The sequence below is a fragment of the Homo sapiens genome, chromosome 2, assembly GCF_000001405.40.
Source record: "Homo sapiens chromosome 2, GRCh38.p14 Primary Assembly".
Classification (NCBI taxonomy): domain Eukaryota; kingdom Metazoa; phylum Chordata; class Mammalia; order Primates; family Hominidae; genus Homo; species Homo sapiens.
In genome coordinates this window covers 135,736,040-135,760,502 of record NC_000002.12, presented here as the reverse complement: position 1 = coordinate 135,760,502, position 24,463 = coordinate 135,736,040, and the positions used below count along the sequence as shown (strand labels likewise).

Genomic DNA, 24,463 nt, shown 5'->3' with positions numbered 1-24,463 from the left:
AGAGTTCTCTGCCTTTGGTATTTCATAAATGACTTGAAGATGTAAAATATAAATTTGTAACTTTTTTTTTTTGAGACATGGTCTAGCTTTGTTGCCCAGGCTGGAGAGCAGTGGCATGATCTTGGCTCACTGCAACCTCCGCCTCCTGGGATCAAGCCATCTTCCTACTTCACCCTCCCTAGTAGCTGGGGCCACCAGTGCACGCTACCATGCCTGGCTAATTTTTGTATTTTGTATGGAGACTGGGTTTTGTCACACTGCCGAGGCTGGTCTCGAACTCCTGAGCTCAACTGATCTTGGCCTCCTAAAGTACTGGGATCACAGGCATGAGCCATTGTACCTGGCCCATGTGTAACTTTATGGGTGACCCAAAATTGTGTGAAATAGCTTATTAACACTCATATTTAACTGCTAATTCCTAAATGAAAAATTCTAGGTCGGGTATGGTGGCTCACACCTGTAGTCCCAGCACTTTGGGAGGCCGAGGCAGGTGGATCATTTGAGGTCAGGAGTTTGAGACCAGTCTGGCCAACATGGTGAAACCTCATCACTACTAAAAATACAAAATCAGCTGGGCATGGTTGCGGGTGCCTATAATCCCGGCTACTTGGAAGGCTGAGGTAGAAGAATCACTTGAATTTGGGAGGTGGAGGCTGCAGTGAGCCAAGATAGCGCCACTGCACTCCAGCCTGGGAGACAGAGCGAGACTGTCTCAAAAAAAAAAAAAAAAAAAAAATTCTGGATTGAAAAAACACCTCAATAAGCTAAAACAACTGATAAAAATCCAAATATAATAAAAATGTATTGAGAAGTTCCGCCTTTAGGCTTAAAAAGCCAACTGGAATAACAGGCATAATGTATCTCCTGAGAGAAATATACATCATCATCTACAAAGTAGTCTTGTCAAAAAGAATAATGAAGCTGACTTGATCAAGTCTGTAGCTTTACCAATTTAGAGGAATAAAGGGGATAGAGGAACATCTTACACAATTCCATGGGGATGCAGTAAAATCCAGACTGTGGAAAACTATAGGAAAAACTACCAGGGAGAGCAGAAATCTATATATTAAATTTAAAAACACATCAACCAATAGCAATATATCGAACTGTAACTCAAACTGAAAAAAAGTATAATATAAATATTGCCTAGATAATTGATGACAAAAAGGATTACTATTAAGCTTTCTGGCTTTGATAATAGTATTGTTGTTATTTTTAAAAATTTCTTATCTTTTAGATATTGATATTTTAAAAGATGAAATCATACAAATGCCTGAGATTTGCTTCAAAATAACCTGGAAGGGTGGTCATATAGGGAGACAGATAACAAAAACCGAGCAAATAATGGGAATCACTGACGCAGGATGATGAGTACCTCGAGTTCGTTATTCTGTTCTCTCTACTTTAGAATATGCTTGCAAATTTCCATAATTAAAATTTATTTTGGCTGGGCGCAGTGGCTTACGCCTACAATCCCAGCACTTTGGGAGCTGAGGCAGGCGTATCACCTGAGGTCAGGAGTTCGAGGCCAGCCTGGCCAACATGGTGAAACCCCGTCTCTACTAAAAATACAAAAATTAGCCGGGCATGGTGGTGCACGCCTGTAGTCCCAGCTACTCGGGAGGCTGAGACAGGAGAATCACTTGAACCTGGGAAGTGGAGGTTGCAGTGAGCCGAGATCACGCCACTGCACTGCAGCCTGGCCAACAAAGTGAGACTCTGTCTCAAAAAAAAAAAATTATTTTAAAAGGCAACTATATATAATCTTAAAAGATTTATATTCCTTTCTTATATTTTAGAGATACATATTGAAATATTTTACCTGAGATTTGTTCTAAATAAGTTGAAAAAGAAGAGGAGTGGAGGGCACAGATGAGAATATTGGCCATGAAGCTAGGCAATGGATTAATGGGGTTTTCTTATACTATTTTTTTCTACTTCTATGTATGTTTGAAATTTTCCATAATAAATAGTTTTAAAAAGCTACAGGCCTGGATCCAATGACTCATGCCTGTAATCCCAGCACTTTCAGAGGGCAAGGCAGGAGGATTACTGGAGGACAGGAGTTTGAGACAGCCTAAGCAACATAGTGAGACCCCATCTCTGCAAAGAATATAATTAAAAAATTAGGCTGGGCGTGGTGGCTCATACCTATAATCCCAGCACTTTGGGAGGCCAAGGCAAGCAGATCACCTGAGGTCAGGAGATTGAGACCAGCCTGATCAACATGGAGAAACCCCGTCCCTACTAAAAATACAAAATTAGCCAGGCATGGTGGCGCATGCCTGTAATCCCAGCTACTCAGCAGGCTGAGGCAGGAGAATCGCTTGAACCTAGGAGATGGAGGTTGTGGTGAGCCAAGATTGTGCCATTGCACTCCAGCTTGGGCAACAAGACCAAAATTCCATCTCAAAAAAAAAAAAAAAATTAGCCAGGTGTGGTGGTGCACACCTGTAGTCCTAGCTACTCAGGTGGCTGAAGCAGGAGATCACGTGGGCCAGGAGTTGGAGATTATAGTGAGCTATGTTTGTGCCACTGCACTCCAGCCTGGGTGACAGAGCCAGACCCTGCAGACACATTTTTGTAGAGACAGAGTTTTGCCGTGTTGTCCAGGCGGGTCTCAAACTCCTGGGCTTAAGCAATCTGCCCACCTTGGCCTCTCAAAGTGCTGGGATTATAGGTGTGAACAACCACACCTGACCAAAAAAAAAAAAAAATTTTTTTTAAGCTAAAAAAAAACTGAGATTAGAGCTGCTACTCACCTCAGGTAAGCCAGAGCTTGCAGTTTTAGTCTAGCCAAGTTAATTGTCTACTAAAACAAAAACAACACTCTTTGCAGGAATATAATGAAATCCAGAGTGTCTACAACAATGTACAAGATACAATCCAGCATTTTTTGACATATGAACAAACAAGAAAATGTGACCCATTCTAAAGGGTAAAGGTGATCAACACAAGCCAATCCTCAGATGAGCTAGATATTGAAACTGTCAGACAAAGACTTTAAAGCAGCCATTATAACTCAAATGAGGAAAAGGGAAATACACTTGAAATGAATTAAAAGAATAAAACGTAGATGAAGAGTACTCATTCTGCACAACTTCTGTAACTTATGAGTCAAACTATTTCAAAATAAAAAGTTATAATAAGAGAGAAAGAAATAGAAATCCTACAACTAAAAAATGTATAACATAATTTTATCTAAAATAAAAAATTCACTGGATGGGCTTAACATCAGAATGGAGATGATAAAGAGTCAGTGAACTTGCAGATCAACAGAATTATCCAATCCAAAGAAGAAAAAATAAGTGTGAAAAAATAAACCTGTGGGACAATACCATGAAGCCTAATATACATGTAATTCATTCCAGCAAGATATATGGACCAAAATTCCCAAACTTGGTGAAAGTCACACATTTACAGATGTAAGAAACTAGGCAAACCAAACACAGGATAAATACAAAGAAAAATACACTTAGGCATATCACAGTCAAATTGCTAAAAACCAAAGAAAGAAAGAAATCCTGAAAGCAGCCAGAGAAAAGCAACATACTCCTTACAGGGGGGAACAATCAGAATTTGTGGAGACTTCTCATTAGAACACTATGAAGACCAGAAGACGGTGGACAATACCTGTAACTGTAAACAAAAATTTTTATATCCAGCAAAAATATCCTTCCAGAATGAAGATAAAACAAAGTCATTTCACATAAAGAAAACTCCAGACCTGTACAATAAGTAATGCTAAAGGAAAATTTTCAGGCTGAAAGAATATTATACCAGAGGGAAACATGTGTCTATCTTCAAAATGGAATGAAGAATTTTGGAAATGATATATATCCAGGTAAATACAATTAAAGTAATTATTCTGTCGTAGACCTAAATGAACATCCATAATAGAGTCCCCCCGTTCCGTACACATCCAGAAGTTGAATGATCCATCCGATGTAAAACCTCAAAATGAGACAAATAGCTGTATTTCAAATATTCAAAACCTGTCATGTGTAACTCCACAAGGCAGCATTAATGTTAACAGGAAGTTATGGGGCATCAAATTTCAGCTCAATATAAGGAAGACTCTTTCTAAAAACTAGAGCTGTTCAACAACAGAACAGGCTTCCTAGCAAGGTAATGAGCTTCCCATCATTGAATGCATTCAAATAGAAGCTTGATGATTATTTGTGTGGGATGCTGGAGTAGATTCATCTTTTAGGACACTAATATCCTAACATCTTGATTTATTTACCCCTCGGTTGCCTAATACAAAGCTATATTACACCAAACAACTCCAACCACAATCCCAAAAATTTCTCTTTTGCCTTTTCTATCAATGAGTTTACAGTCACACCTCTTACTTCTACAAGCTCTATTTCATAATTATCTTTTACCTCTAATCAAAAAAAATATATATAACACTATTCTCTTAAATTTATATAGCTTTTTACATGTTATAGAAACAATTCCAAATATAATACTTTAGTTCATTTGAAACTTTCCAAATTCTCTAGGCTAGTAAGAGATTTATAAAACTGCTCAGTGTCATGACATTCCTTGAAGCATGCAGCGCAATAGCAGAAATTATAAATCAATTGCTCTGGATTGTTGACTATTTGGGAGTTGAGCTGACATTCACTGACTTTATTGTCTTCTGCCACTAAATGACACATGTGTATTTAATATGACTCTTAAATTTTAAGTTAAATAAATGTGAAGAAAAATACATACAATATATTTTTAAAATATTAATATTTAAATATTAAAATGTAGTGAAGGAGCTTCTATTGCACTCAAAAAGGTACATTAAAAGTTACCTGTTGCAGTATCTGACTTTGTATCAGAAGTGGGTGGTATCTCACAAAGCTCTGCATTTCTGGACTGAGAGTTTTCACAAGTGTTGTTAGGTTCAAATGACGCAGATGGAGTAGACACTGAACTTTCTGACTGACTGCCATTTGCTACTGATGTTTCACTTTTTAGCAAATGCATCTAGGCAGAAAATAAATTGGATTTTAATTAATAGATAAGAATCTAAACTTACCATGGCAGTAGAGACCAAAATACAGGTTGATTTATACTCTATAAAAAGAGAAATACGAAATGCTCATAAATAGATGAATCCAAAATGTATAATCCTAAGTATGATATAATCACATTATGGAATTTACCTGCAAGCTGGCAAGACCATAAAAACATTTGTTAAAGCACACTATTGATTTTCCCTCAAATTAGAATTCAAAGAAAAAAGTTACAAACTTCTACCAGCCATTTGTCCAAAGTAGACAGAAATGATTAATTATTGAGTATAACGTCCTTAAAATATATTAAGCAATATATAGTTAGAGCCTTAATATGACAGCAACTTTCTCTTTCAACAAAGTTATGGTGATATTCATTATGTGTTGAGACTGGGGTAAAAGATGGCTAGGTGTGGTGGCTCATGCCTGTAATCCCAGCACTTTGGGAGGTCAAGGCGGGCAGATCACTTGAGGTCAGGAGTTCAAGACCAGCCTGGCCAACATGGCAAAATTCCGTCTCTACTAAAAATGCAAAAATTAGCTGGGCATGGTGGCATGCGCCTGTAATCCCACCACTGGGGAGGCTGAGGCAGAAAAATCGCTCGAACCCGGGAGGTAGAGATTGCAGTGAGCTGAGATCAGTCCACTGCACTCCAGCCTGGGCAACAGAGACTCCATCTCAAAAAAATAAAAAAATAAAGAAAGGTAAAGAAGTCAGTCAAGTATTAGGTACTGGCTACTGGCACCTGTAACTTCATGCTATTTACAAAAACAGGTGACAAAGACAGTACTTACTACCTTTTAAGATTTTTGGCATGGCAGTTTCCTGAATATACAGAGGGGCTCCAAAAATATTCCAATGTTAGGAAGGGTGCGGTGGCTCACACCTGTAATCTCAGCACTTTGGGAGGCCGAGGCGGGCAGATCACCTGAGGTCAGGAGTTTGAGACCAGCCTGGCCAACATGGTGAAACCCTGTCTCTACTAAAAATACAAAAATCAGCTCAGTGTGGTGGCAGGTGCCTGTAATCCCAGCTACTTGGGAGGCTGGGGCAGGAGAATCACTTGAACCTGGGAGGCGGAGGCTGCACTTGAGCTGAGATCACACCACTGCACTCCAGCCTGGGCGACAGAACGAGACTCCATCTCAAAAAAAAAAATCCAATTCCTGACGTACCATTTACGGAAACAACAGTTCTGTTCCTTCTTACCTGTCGGACCTTGTGAATTCTTGTAACAAGTTCATCTGCAGAAACACTTCCTGCTATTACTTCCAAGGGAATTCCACTGTCTCCAATAAAGAAACTGGATGGAACACACACTACAGGATCTGTACAGTTTAATGAAGTCTAACAATTCATGTGAAACGAAAGGATAGTTTTACGAAACACTATTGGTAACAAAGGAAAACAAATGATCTTTGTGATTTTCACAATATAATCTAACATTTATTAAATAATTTCAAGTACTGCATCATTATACCTGTAGTATTAATACATGTGACATGTTAATTTATGAGGTATATTCTAGTGAAGAATCTACTACATTCTCCTCTATCATAACTTCCTTTTCTATCCATCTTGCTGCCAGCTGCCTCTTGCAAGCTACTTGTAACATTCCAACCCAACTGATCTATATTGTTTTTCAGATATTCACATTTTAAAAACTCCCTATCCTATCTTTAGCTGCAATATATTATCTCAATGTATGGGGTGCACTACACCATTGAGTTACTTTTATATATGTTTGAAATTTCCTATAATAACATTTTTTTTAAATGAGGACACTTAGTAATAAAGTTTCCATAAAAAAGAATGTATGATTTCCTAAATAAAAATGAATAATTTCTAAATTTCATAAATTAACCAAAAGGAAGGTAAATAAATGTATATATATAAGCCATTCTTTACTGAAAGGATACAGATTTGTGAAAACTGTAGGCAGGCTTCACTGTAAAACAAAATCAAACAAAATCACTAGATGAATGCAAGTATTTTCTAAATACTGAGTTGTTTTAATAAAATTTACTGTACCAATCACAAGTATTTTCCTGCAACTACCAGTTTCTTTCACAGCAATCAGGTTGAAGGAGAAAAATATAATTCTTATTTCATTAAGACTTTTTCTGGTTTGTTTTATAATTTTCAAATGAAAGAATTATTTGTGGCTTGGCATGGTGGCTCATGCCTGTAATCCCAGCATTTTGGGAGGCCGAGGCAGGCAGATCACTTGAGATCAAGAGTTCGAGACCAGCCTGGCCAACATGGCGAAACCCCGTCTCTACTAAAAATACAAAAATTAGCTGGGCATTGTGGCAAGTGCCTGTAATCCCAGCTACTTGGGAGGCTGAGGCAGGAGAATCGCTTGAACCCAGGAGGTGGAAGTTTCAGTGAGCCAAGATTGCACCATTGCACTCCAGCCTGGGCAACAAGAGCAAAACTCTGTCTCAAAAAAAAAAAAAAAAAAAAAAAGGCCGGGCGTGGTAGCTCACAGGTATAATCCAAGCACTTTGGGAGGCCAAGGCGGGTGAATCACAAAGTCAGTAGTTGAGACCAGCCTGGCCAACATGGTGAAATCTGGTCTCTACTAAAAATGCAAAAATTAGCTCGGCGTGGTGGCACACACCTGTAATCCCGGCTACTCAGGAGGCTGAGGCAAGAGAATCGCTTGAACCTGGTAGGCAGAGGTTGCAGTGAGCCAAGATCGCGCCACTGCACTCCAGCCTGGGCAACAGAGTGAGACTTCATCTCAAAAGAGAAAGAACTATTTGCTCTTACAACCCACAAGCTAGTGGCTGCATCTGGTAGCTAAAAAATTAATTTGGTATCTGCCATGCTGCTTCCTCAGCAGACAAGTATACCTGAATACAATATCTTAACCTGGAACACGAAGACATAAGGCCTACGACTTACTTAGGCATGTGATAATGTAATACTCTATAATAACAAAGGATTAAAAGCAATCTATATACCAATAAAAACTGAATAATTATGCAATCACAAAAAAAGGCAGGCCAGCACTGTGGATCACATCTGTAATCCCAGCAATTTGGGAGGTCAAGGCAGGTGGACACGAGGTCAGGAGTTCGTGACCAGCCTGGCCAACATGGCGAAACCCTGTCTCTACTAAAAATACAAAAATTGGCCTGGCGTGGTGGCTCACGCCTGTAATCCCAGCACTTTGGGAGGCCGAGGCAAGTGGATTATGAGGTCAGGAGTTCGAGTCCAGTCTGGCCAACATAGTGAAACTCCCTCTCTACTGAAAATACAAAAAATTAGCTGGGTGTGGTGGTGTGCACCTGTAATCCCAGCTACTCGGGAGGCTGACACAGGAGAACTGCATGAACCCAGGAGGCGGAGGTTGCAGTGAGCCGAGATCATGCCATTGCACTCCAGCTCAGGGTACAATGTGAGACTCTGTCTCAAAAAAAAGAAAAGAAAAAGGTATAGAAAAGTATGTCAAAATGCTATTAATACTATTTTTGTAAAACATGGAAGGAAAACAAACATAAATATATTTTCTTGATTTGGTTCCCTCCAGAGAAGGGAGCTGAGTGGTCAGGGATGGGAGAGAGAATTTATAAGATTAGTAAGAGATACTCATCAATGTAGATGCTTCCAATAATCAAACAAATGCTTCTAAGAACTAGAATTTGCTTTTTTCCCTCAAATATAAAGCATTATTATCATAAAAACATTTAAAAACATAGTAAAAAATCAAGAAAAAAAATTACCCAAAATCCTACCATTTCAGAAATAATTGTAAACTTTTTACGCATTTCCTACTAATCTATTTTCAATGCACGCTATCTCCAAAAATACATACACACTAAAATGATCCCAAAACATTGGGTGACTTAGTTATTATGAAATGAAGAAAATTTATTTTCCATAATTTAAAGGCACACTAGATTCTATCAGCATGCAGTCTACAGTGAAACAAACATGAACCATCACTATATGCAGGTATCCCTGCATCTGCTAATAGAAATTTGTTTTTAAGGCCAGGCACGATGGCTCACACCTGTAATCCCAGCACTTTGGGAGGCCGGGGCAGGTGGATCACGAGGTCAGGAGATCGAGACCATCCTGGCTAACACTGTGAAACCCCATCTCTACTAAAACTATTTTAAAAATTAGCCAGGCATGGTGGTGGGCGCCTATAGTCCCAGCTACTTGGGAGGCTGAGGCAGGAGAATGCCGTGAGCCCGGGAGGCGGAGCTTGCAGTGAGCCAAGATCACGTTACTGCACTCCAGCCTGGGCTACAGAGCGAGACTCCGTCTCAAAAAAAATAAAAAATAAAAAAAAGTAATTTATTTTTAAAAATGCCAGACACGGCCGGGCACAGTGGCTCATACCTGTAATCCCAGCACTTTGGGAGGCTGAGGCGGGCGGATCACGAGGTCAGGAGATCGAGACCATGGTGAAACCCCGTCTCTACTAAAAATACAAAAAAAAAAAAAAAATTAGCCGGGCATGGTGGCGGGCACCTGCAGTCCCAGCTACTCGGGAGGCTGAGGCAGGAGAATGGCGTGAACCCGGGAGGCGGAGCTTGCAGTGAGCCGAGATCACGCCACTGCACTCCAGCCTGGGCGACAGAGCAAGACTCCGTCTCAAAAAAAAAAAAAAAAAAAAAAAAAAAAAAAAAAAAAAGCCAGACACATCAGTCTGTATACAATCTCAAGAATTCTGGAATTCTCATGTATTGCACATTCCCTATAAATCCCTATATTCTTCTTGCCACTGCCAACTCTCAAAGGTGCTTCAGGAAGGTGATGAACAATAAAAAAAAAAAGATATACTTAAATTGACAGATTCTGTTTTTTAAAAACTACTCAGTAAATACATAGTTCAGTAACTGTTGTGAGACAGGCTATACTACGACTTGATGTTTTTGTAAACACAGAAAATTTTTACATAAAGTTTACAAACTTATAGGCAAATTTCTGAATTTATTTTTTTATTTTTATTTTTATTTTTTTTGAGACGGAGTCTTGCTCTGTTGCCCAGGCTGGAGTGCAGTGGTGCAATCTCGGCTCACTGCAAGCTCTGCCTCCCGGGTTCACAGCATTCTCCTGCCTCAGCCTCCCGAGTAGAAATTTCTGAATGCTTTAATCTTGACAGTGATTTTCAAACACATTATTCATTCTGATAGTATCAATATCAAAAAGACAGGAATACCACTTTGTAAGTGCTAATGAATTAATGTTTTCAGCACCAGGCACAGTGAAGCATGCCTGTAACTACAGCTATTTGGGAGGCTGACATGGGAGGATCTCTTCAGTCCAATATTTTAAGACCAGCCTGGGCAACATAGTGAAATCCTGCTTCAAAGAAAAAAATAAATAATAATGTTTTTAGGTAATGATCACTGATAGCTGCTAACATCATAAAGAGAGAAAACAGGGTATTATCTGTCTTCTGATGGAAGACACATCACTACCTATGAAGTAGTCTTAGGACAGGATGAGGGGAGGGGAAACAAACCTGAATCTACCTATCAATACAGAAAACAGGAAAGAACCAACTTGACACTAACACATTGCAGTCAACAAAATCCATACTGTAGGAAACCACAGAACAAATGTATAGAACAAATGACCTGGTGTCTTTAAAATATAAATTCCAAGGAGCAGGGGAGTTGGAGGAGAAGCCTACATACTGAGAGAAATCAATGCTTCCTAATGTGTGGCCCTTGAATAATTTTGAACTAAAAAACTGCAATAAAGTAATAAAACTATGACTTTGATGAGACAACTGAAAAGTCGAACACTGGCTGGTTATTTGATATTAAAGAATTATTATTAGTTTGTGAAGTATTAATATTATAGTTATGCTTAAAAAATTAACAATACTTATACTTCAGAGACATACTAAAATATTTATAGATGAAGTGATACAGTGACTGTGATTTGTTTCAAAATTATTTGGATTGAGTGGAAATGGGTGGAGGTATAGATGAAACAAGACTGACCATGAGTTAATTACCAAAGCTAGTAGACAAGTACATGGGGTACATTACACTGTTACATTACTTTCATATATGTTTGAAACTTCCTATAACAAAAATTTTTTTAAAAGATGGGGAGGAGGAACGGAGAAACAAAATAGACTTGTGGACATCAGGTACTTTGAGGAACCTATAAATGTCCTTATTTCCACTGATTAAATGACTCCATTCCCAAAAATAGGATTCAAGACAGTAAGTGATCAACCTCTCAGAGATATTCAATGTATGATTTACCATTACTTCCAAGTTTTTAGAAGCTGGAGATGACTGTTCTTTTTGCATTCCTGGTACATGTTAGATGGCTGCTTGGTAGAGTAGGAAAGCTTAAAGTTTTTTCAGCAGGATTCATGATGAATTTAGCAAACGGCAGTCAGAATTTAAGTTCCTAATATGCCTTAGATACCCAAAAACATAGCATAAACATTCTTTTTTTTTTTTTGAGATAGTCTTGCTCTCTCGCCCAGGCTATAGTGCAGTGGTGCAGTCACTGCTAACTGCAGCCTCAACTTCAACCTCCTGGGCTCAAGTGATCCTCTTACCTCAGCCCCCCGAGTAGCTGGGATTACAGGCGTGTGCCACCACACCCGGCTAATTTTTGTATTTTTTTTTTTAGTAGAGACAAGGTCTCACTGTGTTGCCCAGACTGGTCTCAAACTCCTGACCTCAAGTGATCCGCCTGTCTTGGCCTCCCAAAGTTCTGGGATTACAGGCATGAGCCACTGTGCCTGGCCTATATTCTTTTTTTTTTTTTTTTGAGACAGAGTTTGACTCTGTCACCCAGGCTGGAGTGCAGTGGCATGATCACAGCTCACTGTAGCCCCAGTCTTCAGGGATCAAGTGATCCTCCCCTCAGCCTCCCAAGTAGCAGGACCAAAGGCACACACCACACTCCTAATTTTATTATTATTTTTTATAGAGACAGGGTCTCACTATGTTGCCCAGGCTAGCCTCTAACTCCTGGGCTCAAGCGATCCTCCCACCTCAGTCTCCCAAAGTGCTGGGAGTGCCCAGCCCAACATCAACATTCTTCTAGTCCAAGAGTATCACTATAAATCAAAGACAATACTTATAAATTTTAAAATTAATAAAATATTAAAACATAAACAAACCTTTTGGTATCGATTTTAATAGCAACAAAACTGTTTGAAGATGCTTCTGTAACTTTATCATCTTCCCAACTTGCAGCCATCTGTGTAGACTGTTCATCATCACCTGTAAAACATTTCAAAAATTCTTATACCAGGCTGGGATCTGCTGATTGCAAACTCTTTTCCCCTGGAAAACGGAAACCTCAAATAAAATATAATCCCACCTATACCACTTTCTGCCAAATTTGAAAACTGAATTTTCCACTAAATGAAAAGTGTGACTGCATACACAGTTCACATCATGAAGAGCAATGAAAACAAACTACACTGGACTATTTAAATGATACAAAATATTTCATAAAAGAAGCCATCTAAATTATGATGCGCAAAGTACCACAATAATAAGCAGTCATCGGTGCAGTGCCTATTTGGGCTTTTGTACATAAGATTTTATTAAAATAAAAGTTGTGGGCTGGGCTCGGTGGCTCACGCCTATAATCTCAGCACTTTGGGAGGCTGAGGCGGGTAGATCACCTGAGGCCAGGAATTCGAGACCAGACTGGCCAACACGGTAAAACCCCATCTCTACTTAGCCAGGTGTGGTGGCGCATGCCTGTAATCCCACCTACATAGGAGGCTGAGGCAGGAGAATTGCTTGCACTCGGAAGGTGGAAGTTGCAGTGAGCGGAGATTGCACCACTGCACTCCAGCCTGGGTGACACAGTGAGACCGTCTAGAGAGAGAGAAAAATAAAAAGTTTGATATCTGTCCTTTATGTGGCACCTTTCTGTTGAGTTCAACATCTCCACTCCACAGCATTTATACTCCAAAATTAATCCAAGGTAGACAGAGGCAGGTACAATTCTGTTTGCAATTTTAGACTTGCCTTTTATTGTAGGTATGCTAATTATAAAAGGTATGCTAACCTATAACTAATCTATGGTGATAGAATTCAGTATAGTGGCTACCTTGATAGAGCATGAAGGAGCCTTCTGGAATGCTGAAAACGTTCTGTATCTTTTTTTTTTTTTTTTTTTTTTTTGAGATGGAGTTTCACTCTTGTCGCTCAGGTTGTAGTGCAATGGTGCAATCTTGGCTCATTGCAATCTCTGCCTCCCGGGTTCAAGCGATTCTCCTGCCTCAGCCTCCTGAGCAGCTGGAATTACAGGTGCCCGCCACCACGCCCAGCTAATTTTTTTGTATTTTTAGTAGAGATGGGGTTTCACTATGTTGGCCAGGACAATTTAATCCACTTTGGCCTTCCTCATTGCAGTTATTCGTTTATGGTAACTCCATCCTTCCAGTTCTCAGGCCAAAAAACTAGTTTTCCTTGATTGTAACTGACTCCAGCTCCAAAATAAATCAAGAATGTAACTTTCTTACCACTTCCACTACTAACTACCCTGATCCAAGCTATCACATCTCACCTGGAAGCCTAGTAAAAGCCTCCAAATTGGTCTTCCTGCTAAGTCTATTCTTAACACAGCAACTTTCTCTAAAAAAAAAAAGATCACATCAACCCTCTGCTTAGATCACACAATGGCTCCCCATTTTCCTCAAAGTAAAAGCCAAAGTCCTTACAGGGCGCTTGAAGGCCCCATACATCAGGACTCCAACTACCTCTGTGACCTCATTCCTTTTTCCTTTCTTGCTATTCTTTTTCCTTCTATTCCTCAAATATGAAAGACACTTCAGCCATAAGGTCTTTGTACTAGTTGTTTCCTCTGCCTGGAATGTTCTTCCCCCAGATAACTACATGGTTAACTTCCAACTCCCTTAAAACTTTGCTCAAATATCAGCTCAATAAAGCTGATACTTAATCACCCACTTTAATATTACAACTCTCCTACTCACTTACTTTAAAATTACACTCTTGAGACATTCCCAAAGCTCCCTTATCTCCTGTTGTTTTTCTGTATTACTTTCACCTTCCAATATACTATGCATTTTTAATTATGTTTACTAGTATCTGTCTCCCCTAACTAGAATGAAGGTTCCATGAAGGCAAGGATTGGTTCCATTTTATTTACTGACAAGACTAAAATCTCTACAAAACATAGTAGGCACCCAATAAGTACTCTGTGGAATAGCTAAATGCCTAATATAGTAAGTATGATGGCATGCCTATAATAATTGACTCTAATGCTGTTTATTTGCATATATTTTGTGAGATGAGATTCAGGAATACCAGAAATAGGAGTTTGAGAAATTTGACCATGGAAAAGTAAACGGGGTCGGGCACGGTGGCTCACTTTGTGAGGCTTAGGCGGACGGATCACGAGGTCAAGAGATCTAGATCATCCCGGCCAACACGGTGAAACCCCGTCTCTACTAAAAATACAAAAATTAGCTGTGCGTGGTGACACACACCTGTAGTCCCAGCTACTCAGGAGGCTGAGGCAGGAGAATCGCTTGAACCAGGGAAGTGGAGGTTGTAGTGAGCCGAGATTGCACCACTGTACTCCAGCCTGGCGGCAGAGTGAGACTCCATCTCAAAAAAAAAAAAAAAAAAAAAGTAAACGGGACTAGAATGCATCCACAGACCAAATGCTCCATTAAGAATGCTCCATTAGCAGACTCCTAGATGTTGAAGATGCAAAATAACGAGAAGTTACTATTTGCAAGTGAGATCACTCTAAATGCATCTTCAGAAACCATCTGATGAGGAGAGATTAAGATTCCAAATAAATGACTCACCTACCAAAGAAAAATAAGTATATGAGAATATTCTTACTACGAACCCTTCTCAGAGAAGGCTGTGAAGAATGAGAAATCCTTTCCATTCATTCTTTTATATGTTCACTATTTTATTGCATTTATTTTGTTCTAGGCATTGAACTGTATACTAAATATAAACCAAATGAGACATTGTCTGCCTTCAACAGAGCTTAAAATCTAATGGTATACAAAATTTTTAAACAAATAGACACTATACGTAATTACAGTAATAAATGCTACTAAAAAGAAATCTATGAGAGAAAATAACAAGAGAACTCTTTATAATGGTCAGAGAAGCCCTCTCTGAGGTGACAGTTAAGCTAAAATCTAAAGGATAAGAGAGCTCAGCCATGCCAACAGCCAGAAGAGTTCACCACGCAGAAGGAATACGTGTGTAGGGAAAGGCCTATGTGATTTGGAATGTTGTGAACAATCCGGAGCTCAAGAAGAGACTGAAGAGTTAAGAGTCAAAGATGACTCTCATATTTATGGTTTATCCAACCAGATGTATGGTAGTGCCAATCAGATGCAGAACACTGGGAGAAACACAGGTTTAGGCAGCACTTACACGTTTAGGCTTGAGAATCCTGGGAGGATCTAAACAGTGATATCACGTAAGTAGCTGAAAGTATAAATCTTGCTTCTTGTGAGGCTGGTGCATCACTCCCTCACCTATACTGTACCATGTGATTAGGGTCCCAGATGTCTCAACCCTACTGGCAGTGTCTGTCCTAGACTCAGCCTAGTGGTGGCAGCAGCTGCTTGAACAGCAGTGGTGGAAAGCTGAATGGAATTACTCAATGCTTAATGACAACTTTCCTAATACTACTGAGTGGGATGACTGATTGCTAACTCTGGTATCTTTCATTTCTTATTTTTAATCAAATTATCAACTATAAAGTTAGGTGGGCCTAAGATTTTAGGAGAAAACAGCATATCCTTTGTATCGGCAGTATCCTAAGCGAAGGCACTTAAAGAGAGCAACACGAACTCAGAAGCAAAGAGTTGCAGACCCTCATACAGCCAGTCTTTCCGATGTAAAATAAATCTCAACTGCTCAAAACCTAAAGGCTTCTGTGGTCTACATTCACCAAAAAAGGCAGAAAATGGCGTCTATCATTAACAAAGTTTGGCCTACCTACCTAGCAACATTAGCCAGTGAACAGATACCTTTACTTCAGTCTCGTCAGATTATTCTACCTTCCCAAGTATTAAATGAATATCGTTTTGTTTCACTTACTTTACACAGCCACAATACTTTGAAAATCATATTAATTTGTTAGCTGAAGTAGTAGTAATCTCTCGTCTCCTAACATCAACTCTACAATATTCTTTAATTCATCCATGAAAATGTCACTAACTAAAGACCACTTGCCTAAAACGTTTCCCACTTGAACAGTTCTATGAACCAAAGTGTACTCTTGAGATCACGTCTTCCAACTATAAAGACATCTTTCAAATTTTCCATTAAGTTGGTATATTATTACTGAGATCTTAGACCTAAGAAAATCACAAGTTCTGACTTCAGAGTTATGAAGAAAGCTCTAAGCAATCTGTAAGTGTTTTGGTTTCATGAGTCCAGTATCTACATACTCCTAGAGTGACACTAATCCTACTTAGTCTTGGGGATTAACTGGCTAAAGCTCTAAAAAAGCTAGCTGGATTTTGGAACAGGTCAAGGGACAGACAGAGACTCCTTTGTGAGATTGCTAACAGTCTTCCTGCAAACATTCAAGAGTCATTATATTCTAAATACATGTAATACATGCTCATCAGTAAAAACTTAATTGAAGAAAGTATATATATATACACAAAACCCCGAAAGGCAAGACCTATAACTTTATTTAACTATTCCAATAATTTGTACTAGAGTTTCCAAATATTAATATTTGTTAATAAAAATCTCTCGTTTCTTTTTTTAAATTAACTGATTTACCTCAAGAGTGCCTTCTAGGAATGTTTGGACATTTGTTCAAAAACATGACTACCATAATCCAAATTTCTGATTTCTATACCAATTTAAATCACCAATTTACAAATTGTTCAGTTTTTTCCTTAAGAAACAAAAAAGCCAGTTTTTTTGAAGCTACTAAAAAATTTGACTGTTAAGACATGTAAATCCTTTTTGTGGCCCTAGTGCAAGTCACTTTATGACTGCTGACCTAAGTGCCTCATCTATAAAATGGGGATAATTAAACCTGTTCTATTTACTGCAAGGATCAACTGAGATATTAGGAGAAAAACAATTTAAAATGTCAAAAACCTACTAATGTACACAATAAGCATAGTGTCATTTACTTTTCCTTTCATTTTCAATCCATTTTTTTCCTTACGGGATTACAGAATTAATTTATGTAAAGTATAATATAACCCCCAGACAGCATCACAGAATCTAAACTATTCAAGCTCTTCTAATAAACAGCATTGAGCTAAAAACTTGGCGTAACAAAACAATTATAAATTCCAAATTTAATGCTAAATGACATTCACATTTCAGTAATTCGTTCTTCACTGCAGTGCATAAAGTTATAGAGCTATTAAAAGACGAGTTAATTATGAATAAACCGTTATTAAACACAAATAGTTGAAGAAATACACCTCAAATTAACAACAGCCACAAACATTGATTTGGTCCATGTAATGAGTATGAGCAGAACCGTAGAGGCAGGGAGTTCACTGTAAATCTACAAGATTTCAGTAATAAAACAGGAGAATATGGAGCAAAATAGCCTAGAGCAACAGAGAATATATGAGTTAATAAACGTTCTCAAAGTCGTGTAGATTTTAGCCTAAGAAGACAACAAAGGGAAGAAACCAAGGACTGAACGTCTATTTTCTTTGAAACTAATGGATTTTTTTTAAACTTACATTATTTCACACTAGATCCCCTACCAAGACTGCCATAAAGAAAAATTAAACCTCTATTCAGCTCAAAAGTTTACGTTTCAGGAACGTACTAACACCAGTAACCGTGAACATCAGGTGGTTTCTCTTTGTTGCTTATCGATGACACAGCTTTCTTCCCGACAGTCCACAACTAATTACAACCCAACTGCTTGCCTAATGGCCCGTTCCTACCTCCATCTAAACAGCAGTAACGAAACGGGCGTTCAAGCAGCACAAAGAGGGTCCTTGGTGACAGAGAGGGACGTCAGGGAGAGGGTCGCGGGGGTCTGGCTGCGCAGGGGAGAGGCTCGGGGCGACGAGCGGGGCTGGGCGGCTGGGGCCTGCTGGCCGCGTCCGTCGCCCCGAGCGGGGAGATTTCGGCGGGCCTCGGGGCGCTTTGGAGACCAGGGCCAGACGGTGCCTCCGGCCCGGCTGCCGGGAGACGCAGCGGTGGGGCCAGGCCCACTGTATCTCAAACGAACCGGGGAGGCGCTGAACAGCCACGGGCCGGCAGCCCGGGCCTCGCAGACACTGAGGAAAGGCTGGGGGCGCCCGGGGCCTGAAGGAGCAGGGCGCTGAGGGTCTGCATGGCCCCTCTGGGGGATCTGGCGGCGGAGTCGCAGCCGTCCCTGGGGCGCGGGGTAGTAGTGGCAATTGTGCGAGCCGACAGGAGCCCGCGTCTCGGGGAGGGCGGGCCGGCGGCTGAGGTATACAAGAGGATGAAGGTAGGCCGGAGGGGTGTCCCGGCCGCCTCTCGAACCCCTGCCTCCTTCACCTGCCACGAACACCACGAAGACCGCGCCGCTCCTTTTGGCCGTCGCGATGGCGGCCGGAATGGCGCCCTGGAACCACAGCATCGCTCCCTTCGGGCCCAGGCGCTCGCTCGGTGTGTAGTCTCCGCAGTCCCGAAGCCGGCTCCGCCCTCCGTCTTCGTCCGGCTCTGCGGCCCCCGCAACCTTGGCTGGTTCGGCCCCCACCTCCGGCTCCGCACAAGCGCGCACGCCCGTCAGCGGCACCCGGAGACGCGCGCTAGCGCGCGCGAGAACACCTCACGTCACAGTCGCAACCCGTCGGTGTCCGTGCCCCAGGACCTTCTCTCGTTGGCGAGTCGATGGTGCGGGCGCGCGCCCGCTAGGCCTCCGGTCGCGCAGTCCAGGAAGTGGAGGAAAGCGGTAAGAGGGATGACTAACCGCTAAGACACGTCGGCGGCGCCTGCAGTGAGGCATGATGGGAATTGTAGTCCACTTAGGCTTATTCGCCTCCATATTGTGGAGCATGTAACTGTGGGTTCTGAGGCACAGCTAAAGGGGGCAGTAGTGAGGGCCACTACACATTCTATAAAGGGGAGAGGGAGAAATAAGTGTCACTCCAACTGGCATATGCTATTCTCGGCCTCGTTGAGACTCTCAGTGTGGAGGAAATAGTCCTCGCATGGAACTAAATGGGCTTTGTCGGGATTAACTCCGAGGCTTTGATTTCTTCTGAACGTAGCCCAACCTTGCAGAAAAACGGGATAAAAACCGCAAGTCACCTTCTTTAATAACCTGTAGTCCATGTGCCTAAGCGGAGGAATTGGTAGAACGCAGGCCTTCAGCAATTTCCTAGACACTGGATAGAGATCATTTCAAAACTTCAAAACGCGTTAGGCTATTGCCACAGCTACTTTTTAAAGTAACACAAAGCAGAGAATAGATTATTTCTTTTCCAGCTACTTTCCATGGTAATACAAAAGAGACTAGATAGTGATTTATTTTCCAATTTTCTGGGAGAATGTCCTATAATCAAGATGTGGCGCTTTGTGATTGGCTGCCATTAAATGAAAACTGATCCATATTTAATACTTTCATGAAATCACATGGTCTGTAATAACTATTAGCTAAAGGCTTGCATGGTTTATTTAAAGTTGCATATACTATTATGTTAAATTCTACATCAATTAAATTTATCCTCCAGCAGTACATCTATCTGACAATCTTTGCAAGATAAAGGAAGTGATACATCTGAATATACCACCTTTCCTACAGATATTTTCCCTAAAAATAGCTAATTATTTGCACTCCGATTTTTGTACTTTTTTTCCCAATCAGGCCTCTCGTATATAGTGTTATTATAAACTGAGACATAATGCTGATTAGGGACAGTTGCTTCTATAGGACAACAATCCTACAGAAAAATTAGAATTGACCTTTAACATCAACTTTAATGGACTTCTGGAAATTTGATCAATCTAGAAATTATTCCAATAGAGCTATGTCTTTAATTATCTCTAATTTTAGAATTAAATAAGAATCCTTCATAGTTTTATATTCATTTGTCAAGTGTTTATCACTCATCTTTTATGAGCTAGGCATTGTGCCTGGCACTGATAAGGAGGTGAGGCAGTCAGAAGAAGGCCCTGTCTTTGTGACTGTACAGTCTAGTCAGGAAGACAGACATTGAATAAGTAATTATGAGTGATGATAAATGTCACAGAAGGGTAATTCAGAGTGCTACAGAAGTGTATGAGGATGGGACCGAACATGGGCTAGTGGAGTCAGAAAGGGCCTTCATGAGGAAATGACGTGTCGGGGAACTCTAGGTAGGTGAAGGAGAAGGCTATTCCACATGAGGCTCTGAAGCAAGCAAACACAGTGCACTTGCAGAACTAAAAAATGCCCAGTGTGGCTATAACATAGAAAGAGGAGTGTGGTACAAGTGAGGCTGGAAAGCTAGGCAAGGATCAGATGATACAGAGTCTTGAAAATCATGTTAAAAATTTTAAGACATTTTTCTAAGGATTACAGGGAGCCATTGAAAAATTTTAAACAGAAGAGTTGGCCAGGCACAATGGCTCATGCCTGTAATCCCAGCACTTTGGGAGGCCGAGGCGGGCAGATCATGAGGTCAGCAGTTCAAGACCAGCCTGACCAACGTGGTGAAACCCCATCTCTACTAAAAATACAAAAATTAGCTGGGCGTGATTGCACATGCCTGTAATCCCAGCTACTCAGGAGGCTGAGGCAGGAGAATCGCTTGAACCTAGGAGGTGGAGGTTGTAGTGAGCCAAGATGGCACCACTGCCCACCAGCCTGGGCGAAAGAGCAAGACTATATCTCAAAAAATAAATAAATAAACAGATACATATAAGACTTCCATTTTTAAATTGTATGATAGCAATTGAATAGATTGGATTTGAAGTGGAATGGCTGAATGTGAATAGACCAGGTAAGAGGTACTTATTCATGTATTAACATAAGGGAGATAGTGAAGTGGATGCTTTTGATATTCTGGAGACAGACCCAATATATTTTGTTGATTACATGTGGAGGTTGAGGAAGAAGGACTCAAGAAGGGATTTTGTGGCCAGGTGTGTTAGCTCATGCCTGTAATCCAAGCACTTTGGGAGGCCAAGGCAGGAGGATCACTTGAACCCAGGAGTTTGAGGCTGCAGTGAGCCATGACTGCACCGAGCCATGACTGCACCACTGCACTCCAGCTTGGGCGACAGAGCAAGACCCTGTCTCTAAAAAAAAAGAGAGAGAGAGAGATTTGGGGTATCTGCCTTGCAAAATCGTAAAGAAGATGGTACTGAGATAGGCAACACTGAAAGAAGTGAAGGATGGTGGGGAGGTTGTTCATGAAGGTGTGAGTTCAATATTAAACATGTGTTTGGAGTACTAGAGAGATATTCACATGCAGTGTTAAGTAGGCAGATAGCTATTAGTCTTGGAGCTCAGATAACAGTTCTTAACTAGAGATAGGAAAGTGAGATTTATCTACATACAGGGGATCAATGAGGCACTGGAAGATAACGATACCATCACTTAGGGAGATGGTGCAAAGTGAGGTGAGACACGAGCATGATTGAGGTCTTAGGGCCTCCAACGTTTATAGGGTTGTATTAAAAAGTATAAACCAGTAAAAGAGACTCAGCAGGAAAGGCAGAGTGTGGGGTGGTGGAAGAAAATGGGAGAGTGTGTGATATCAAAGAAGCCAAGGGTAGAGAGAATTTTAAGAAAGGAGAAGCAGTGGTGTGGAATGCTGCTGTTGGGTCAATTAAGATGAGAGACTAAAAAATGTCCATTGTTTTTAGTAACACAGAGGTCATTTTAAGCTTAGCAAGAGCAATTCTCATGGTTCTTGTGTACAGAAGCCAGATGGCAAAAGGTTGAAAAGTAAGGGGAGGTAAAGAGTCAGTGAGTGTGAAGGTGAGAAGGAAGAAAGGAACATTAGCTGGACAGGAATTTGGATTTGAAAAGACAGCCTTTTTAAAGATGGGAGAGATTTGCATAAAATTAAATGCTAGTGGAAAGGAACTGGTCTTAGATTGAACAAATGGGAAAATGGAAGGCCCCTCTGGAGATGGGAGGGAAAATGGGGTATACAGCACATTCTGTTGATGGCCGATCCAGCAGTCATTCTTCTACCATGCCTTCTATTATTCCTTCCTGACAGAATTCACTTTCTACTGAGAGGCAAAACTGCTGGGTGCAGTAGCTCACTCCTGTAATCCCAGCACATTGGGAGACTGAGGCAGACAGATCACTTGAGGTCAGGAGTTTGAGACCAGCCTGGCCAACATGGTGAAACCCCATCTCTACTAAAAATACAAAAATTAGCCAGCCATGGTGGCATGCACCTGTAATCCCAGCTACTTGGGAGGCTGAGGCATGAGAATCGCTTGAACCCGGGAGGCGGAGGTTGCAGTGAGCAGAGATTGCGTCACTGCACTCCAGCCTGGGCTACAGAGTGAGGCCCTGTCTCAAACAACAACAACAACAAAGCAACCTGCCAGATACTGGGCTTTTCAACCTCCCCTTGAAGCCAGTAAAACCTTGTAGGAAGGGTAGGGGGGTGGGAGGGGCTACTTCCAGGAAAAGCTTTCTTAATAAAAGACACATAGAAGAAAGCACAGATTGGGCGCAGTGGCTCATGCCTATAATCCCAACATGTTGGGAGGCTGAGATGAAAGGATTGCTTGAGGCCAAGAGTTCTAGACCAGCCTGGGCAACATAGTAAGAGTGCCTCTACAAAAAACAAAAAACAAAAACAAAAATAAAAAAAGAAAAAATTAGCCGGGTGTGGTGGTGTGTGCCTGTAGTCCTCAGGAGGCTAAGGTGGAAGGATTGCTTGAGCCCAGGAGGTTGAAGTTGCAATGAGCCATGCTCACACCATGGCACTCCAGCCTGAGCGACAGAGTGAGACTCCGTCTCAAAGAAAAAGGAAAAAAAGAAGGCACAATCTTCCTTTGCTGGATGTGGTTATATGCAAATGATGCCAGGTACTGCTGCAGCCATCTTGTGGCCATGAGGAAAGACATTGCTTATGCTCTAAGAATGGCAGAAGGGAATCTAGAAAGCACTTGTGTCTATGATGACCTCACAGAGCTCCTGAACCAACCCTGGGACTACTCAGCCTCCATATGTCTTGTTTTGTGAGATAGTAACTGTCCTCACTAGTTAGGCTACTGGAAGTTGGATCTTGCTTCTTGTAATTACCACCATTCTAAACAATCTGGGGTGGGATCTAGAATACAGGCAGATAGAAGAGATACCCTTCCCATTTTAACAGACAGAGGAAAGAAAAAATAACTTATGTATTTTTGTTGTTGTTGTTGTTGTTTTGTTTTGTTTTGTATTTTTAGTAGAGACAGGGTCTCACCATGTTGCCCAGGCTGGTCTCAAACTCTTGAGCTCAAGCATTCCACCCACTTCAGCCTCCCAAAGTGCTGGGATTACTGGCGTGAGTCACCACACCTGGCTGAAAAAATAACTTCAGATATAAATAAGTTTATTTAAAAAAACAGACATAAATATGTTTATACATTTCAAAACAATAATTTGAGGAAGATTTTACGTGAAAGCTTTAGCTTTTTTTTCCTTGAAGGAGAGGTTATTTGCTGAGAGTAAGGGGGGAAGTAAGGAAATTGACGCCTTGAGTACAAGGAAACAAGGTTTGAAGTAGTGTTGAGTGTTGGAGGGCAAGTGGACTAGGGAAACACAGTGTGCCAGACAGTGCAGAAGGGACTGTGAAATTGGTGGTCTTGAATTTGCCCAATTGTGTAATTTTCTTCAGCGGTCACTTAATCCCTGAGGGCAGGCGTGGAGAAAGTGGAGACTTGGATTTATCCAGGGTTTTAGGTGCTAGGCAGTGGGAGAAAGAACAAATGAAAAAGAAGTTTAGGAGATTAGCAATGGAACAAACAATGTGATGGAACATGGAATCTAAATTGGTTGGGGGATGGGCGCCGTGGCTCACTTTGGGAGGCTGAGACAGGTGGATCACCTGAGGTCAGGAGTTGAAGGCCAGCCTGGCAAACATGATGAAACCCCGTTTCTACAAAAAATATAGAAATTAGCCAGGCGTGGTGGCTCATGCCTATAGTCCCAGCTACTCGGGAGGCTGAAGCATGAGAATCACTTGAGTCCAGGAGGCGGAGGTTACAGTGAGCTGAGATCACACCCCGCACTCCAGCCTAGGCAACAGAGTGAGACTTGGTCTCAAAAATAAATAAATAAATAAATAAATAAATAAATAAATAAATAAATAAATAAATAAGTTGGGGAGGGAAAGAAATGCAGAAAGGAGAAAAAAACAAACAAATAAAATGGTACAGGGGAGGCAATGGCCTGGAGGGCTCAGAGTGGGCAGGAAACAGGTCAGCAATATGGAGTTTTAAAATGCTGGCTGGGCGTGGTGGCTTATGCCTGTAATCCCAGCACTTTGGGAGGCCGAGGCAGGTGGATCACCTGAGGTAGGAGTTCAAGA

At 41.0% G+C, this 24,463-nt stretch overlaps 1 protein-coding gene and 1 long non-coding RNA gene across 2 annotated transcripts in view, besides 4 other annotated features; one reads left to right on the top strand and one right to left on the bottom strand.

Moving 5' to 3' along the window:
- Positions 1 to 18,648, bottom strand: part of UBXN4 (UBX domain protein 4) — a 43,202-nt gene extending 24,554 nt beyond the window's left edge. Inside the window, exons 1-5 of the mRNA NM_014607.4 lie at positions 18,492 to 18,648; positions 12,134 to 12,236; positions 6,936 to 6,964; positions 6,226 to 6,344; positions 4,812 to 4,986 (exon numbers count right to left, since the gene is read on the bottom strand). Of these exons, the coding sequence (NP_055422.1) occupies positions 4,812 to 4,986; positions 6,226 to 6,344; positions 6,936 to 6,964; positions 12,134 to 12,236; positions 18,492 to 18,573 (508 nt within the window). The 5' untranslated portion in view covers positions 18,574 to 18,648. The remainder of the gene's footprint in view (positions 1 to 4,811; positions 4,987 to 6,225; positions 6,345 to 6,935; positions 6,965 to 12,133; positions 12,237 to 18,491) is intronic.
- Positions 17,407 to 18,182: an enhancer, noted in NCBI's record as "NANOG-H3K27ac-H3K4me1 hESC enhancer chr2:136499891-136500666 (GRCh37/hg19 assembly coordinates)". NCBI's record gives its function as "activates a minimal SCP1, AML or CMV promoter by ChIP-STARR-seq in naive H9 embryonic stem cells {active_cell/tissue: H9 hESC(naive)}" and the evidence as "EXISTENCE:reporter gene assay evidence [ECO:0000049][PMID:30033119]".
- Positions 17,859 to 19,674, top strand: LOC107985946 (uncharacterized). Its single transcript, NR_163478.1, has one exon. It is a non-coding gene; the product is annotated as an uncharacterized LOC107985946 (long non-coding RNA).
- Positions 18,061 to 18,110: a silencer, noted in NCBI's record as "silent region_11982". NCBI's record gives its function as "represses an Ori minimal core promoter by ATAC-STARR-seq in GM12878 lymphoblastoid cells {active_cell/tissue: GM12878}" and the evidence as "EXISTENCE:reporter gene assay evidence [ECO:0000049][PMID:35858748]".
- Positions 18,511 to 18,570: an enhancer, noted in NCBI's record as "active region_16577". NCBI's record gives its function as "activates an Ori minimal core promoter by ATAC-STARR-seq in GM12878 lymphoblastoid cells {active_cell/tissue: GM12878}" and the evidence as "EXISTENCE:reporter gene assay evidence [ECO:0000049][PMID:35858748]".
- Positions 18,901 to 19,030: an enhancer, noted in NCBI's record as "active region_16576". NCBI's record gives its function as "activates an Ori minimal core promoter by ATAC-STARR-seq in GM12878 lymphoblastoid cells {active_cell/tissue: GM12878}" and the evidence as "EXISTENCE:reporter gene assay evidence [ECO:0000049][PMID:35858748]".
- Positions 19,675 to 24,463: the final 4,789 nt, after the last annotated feature.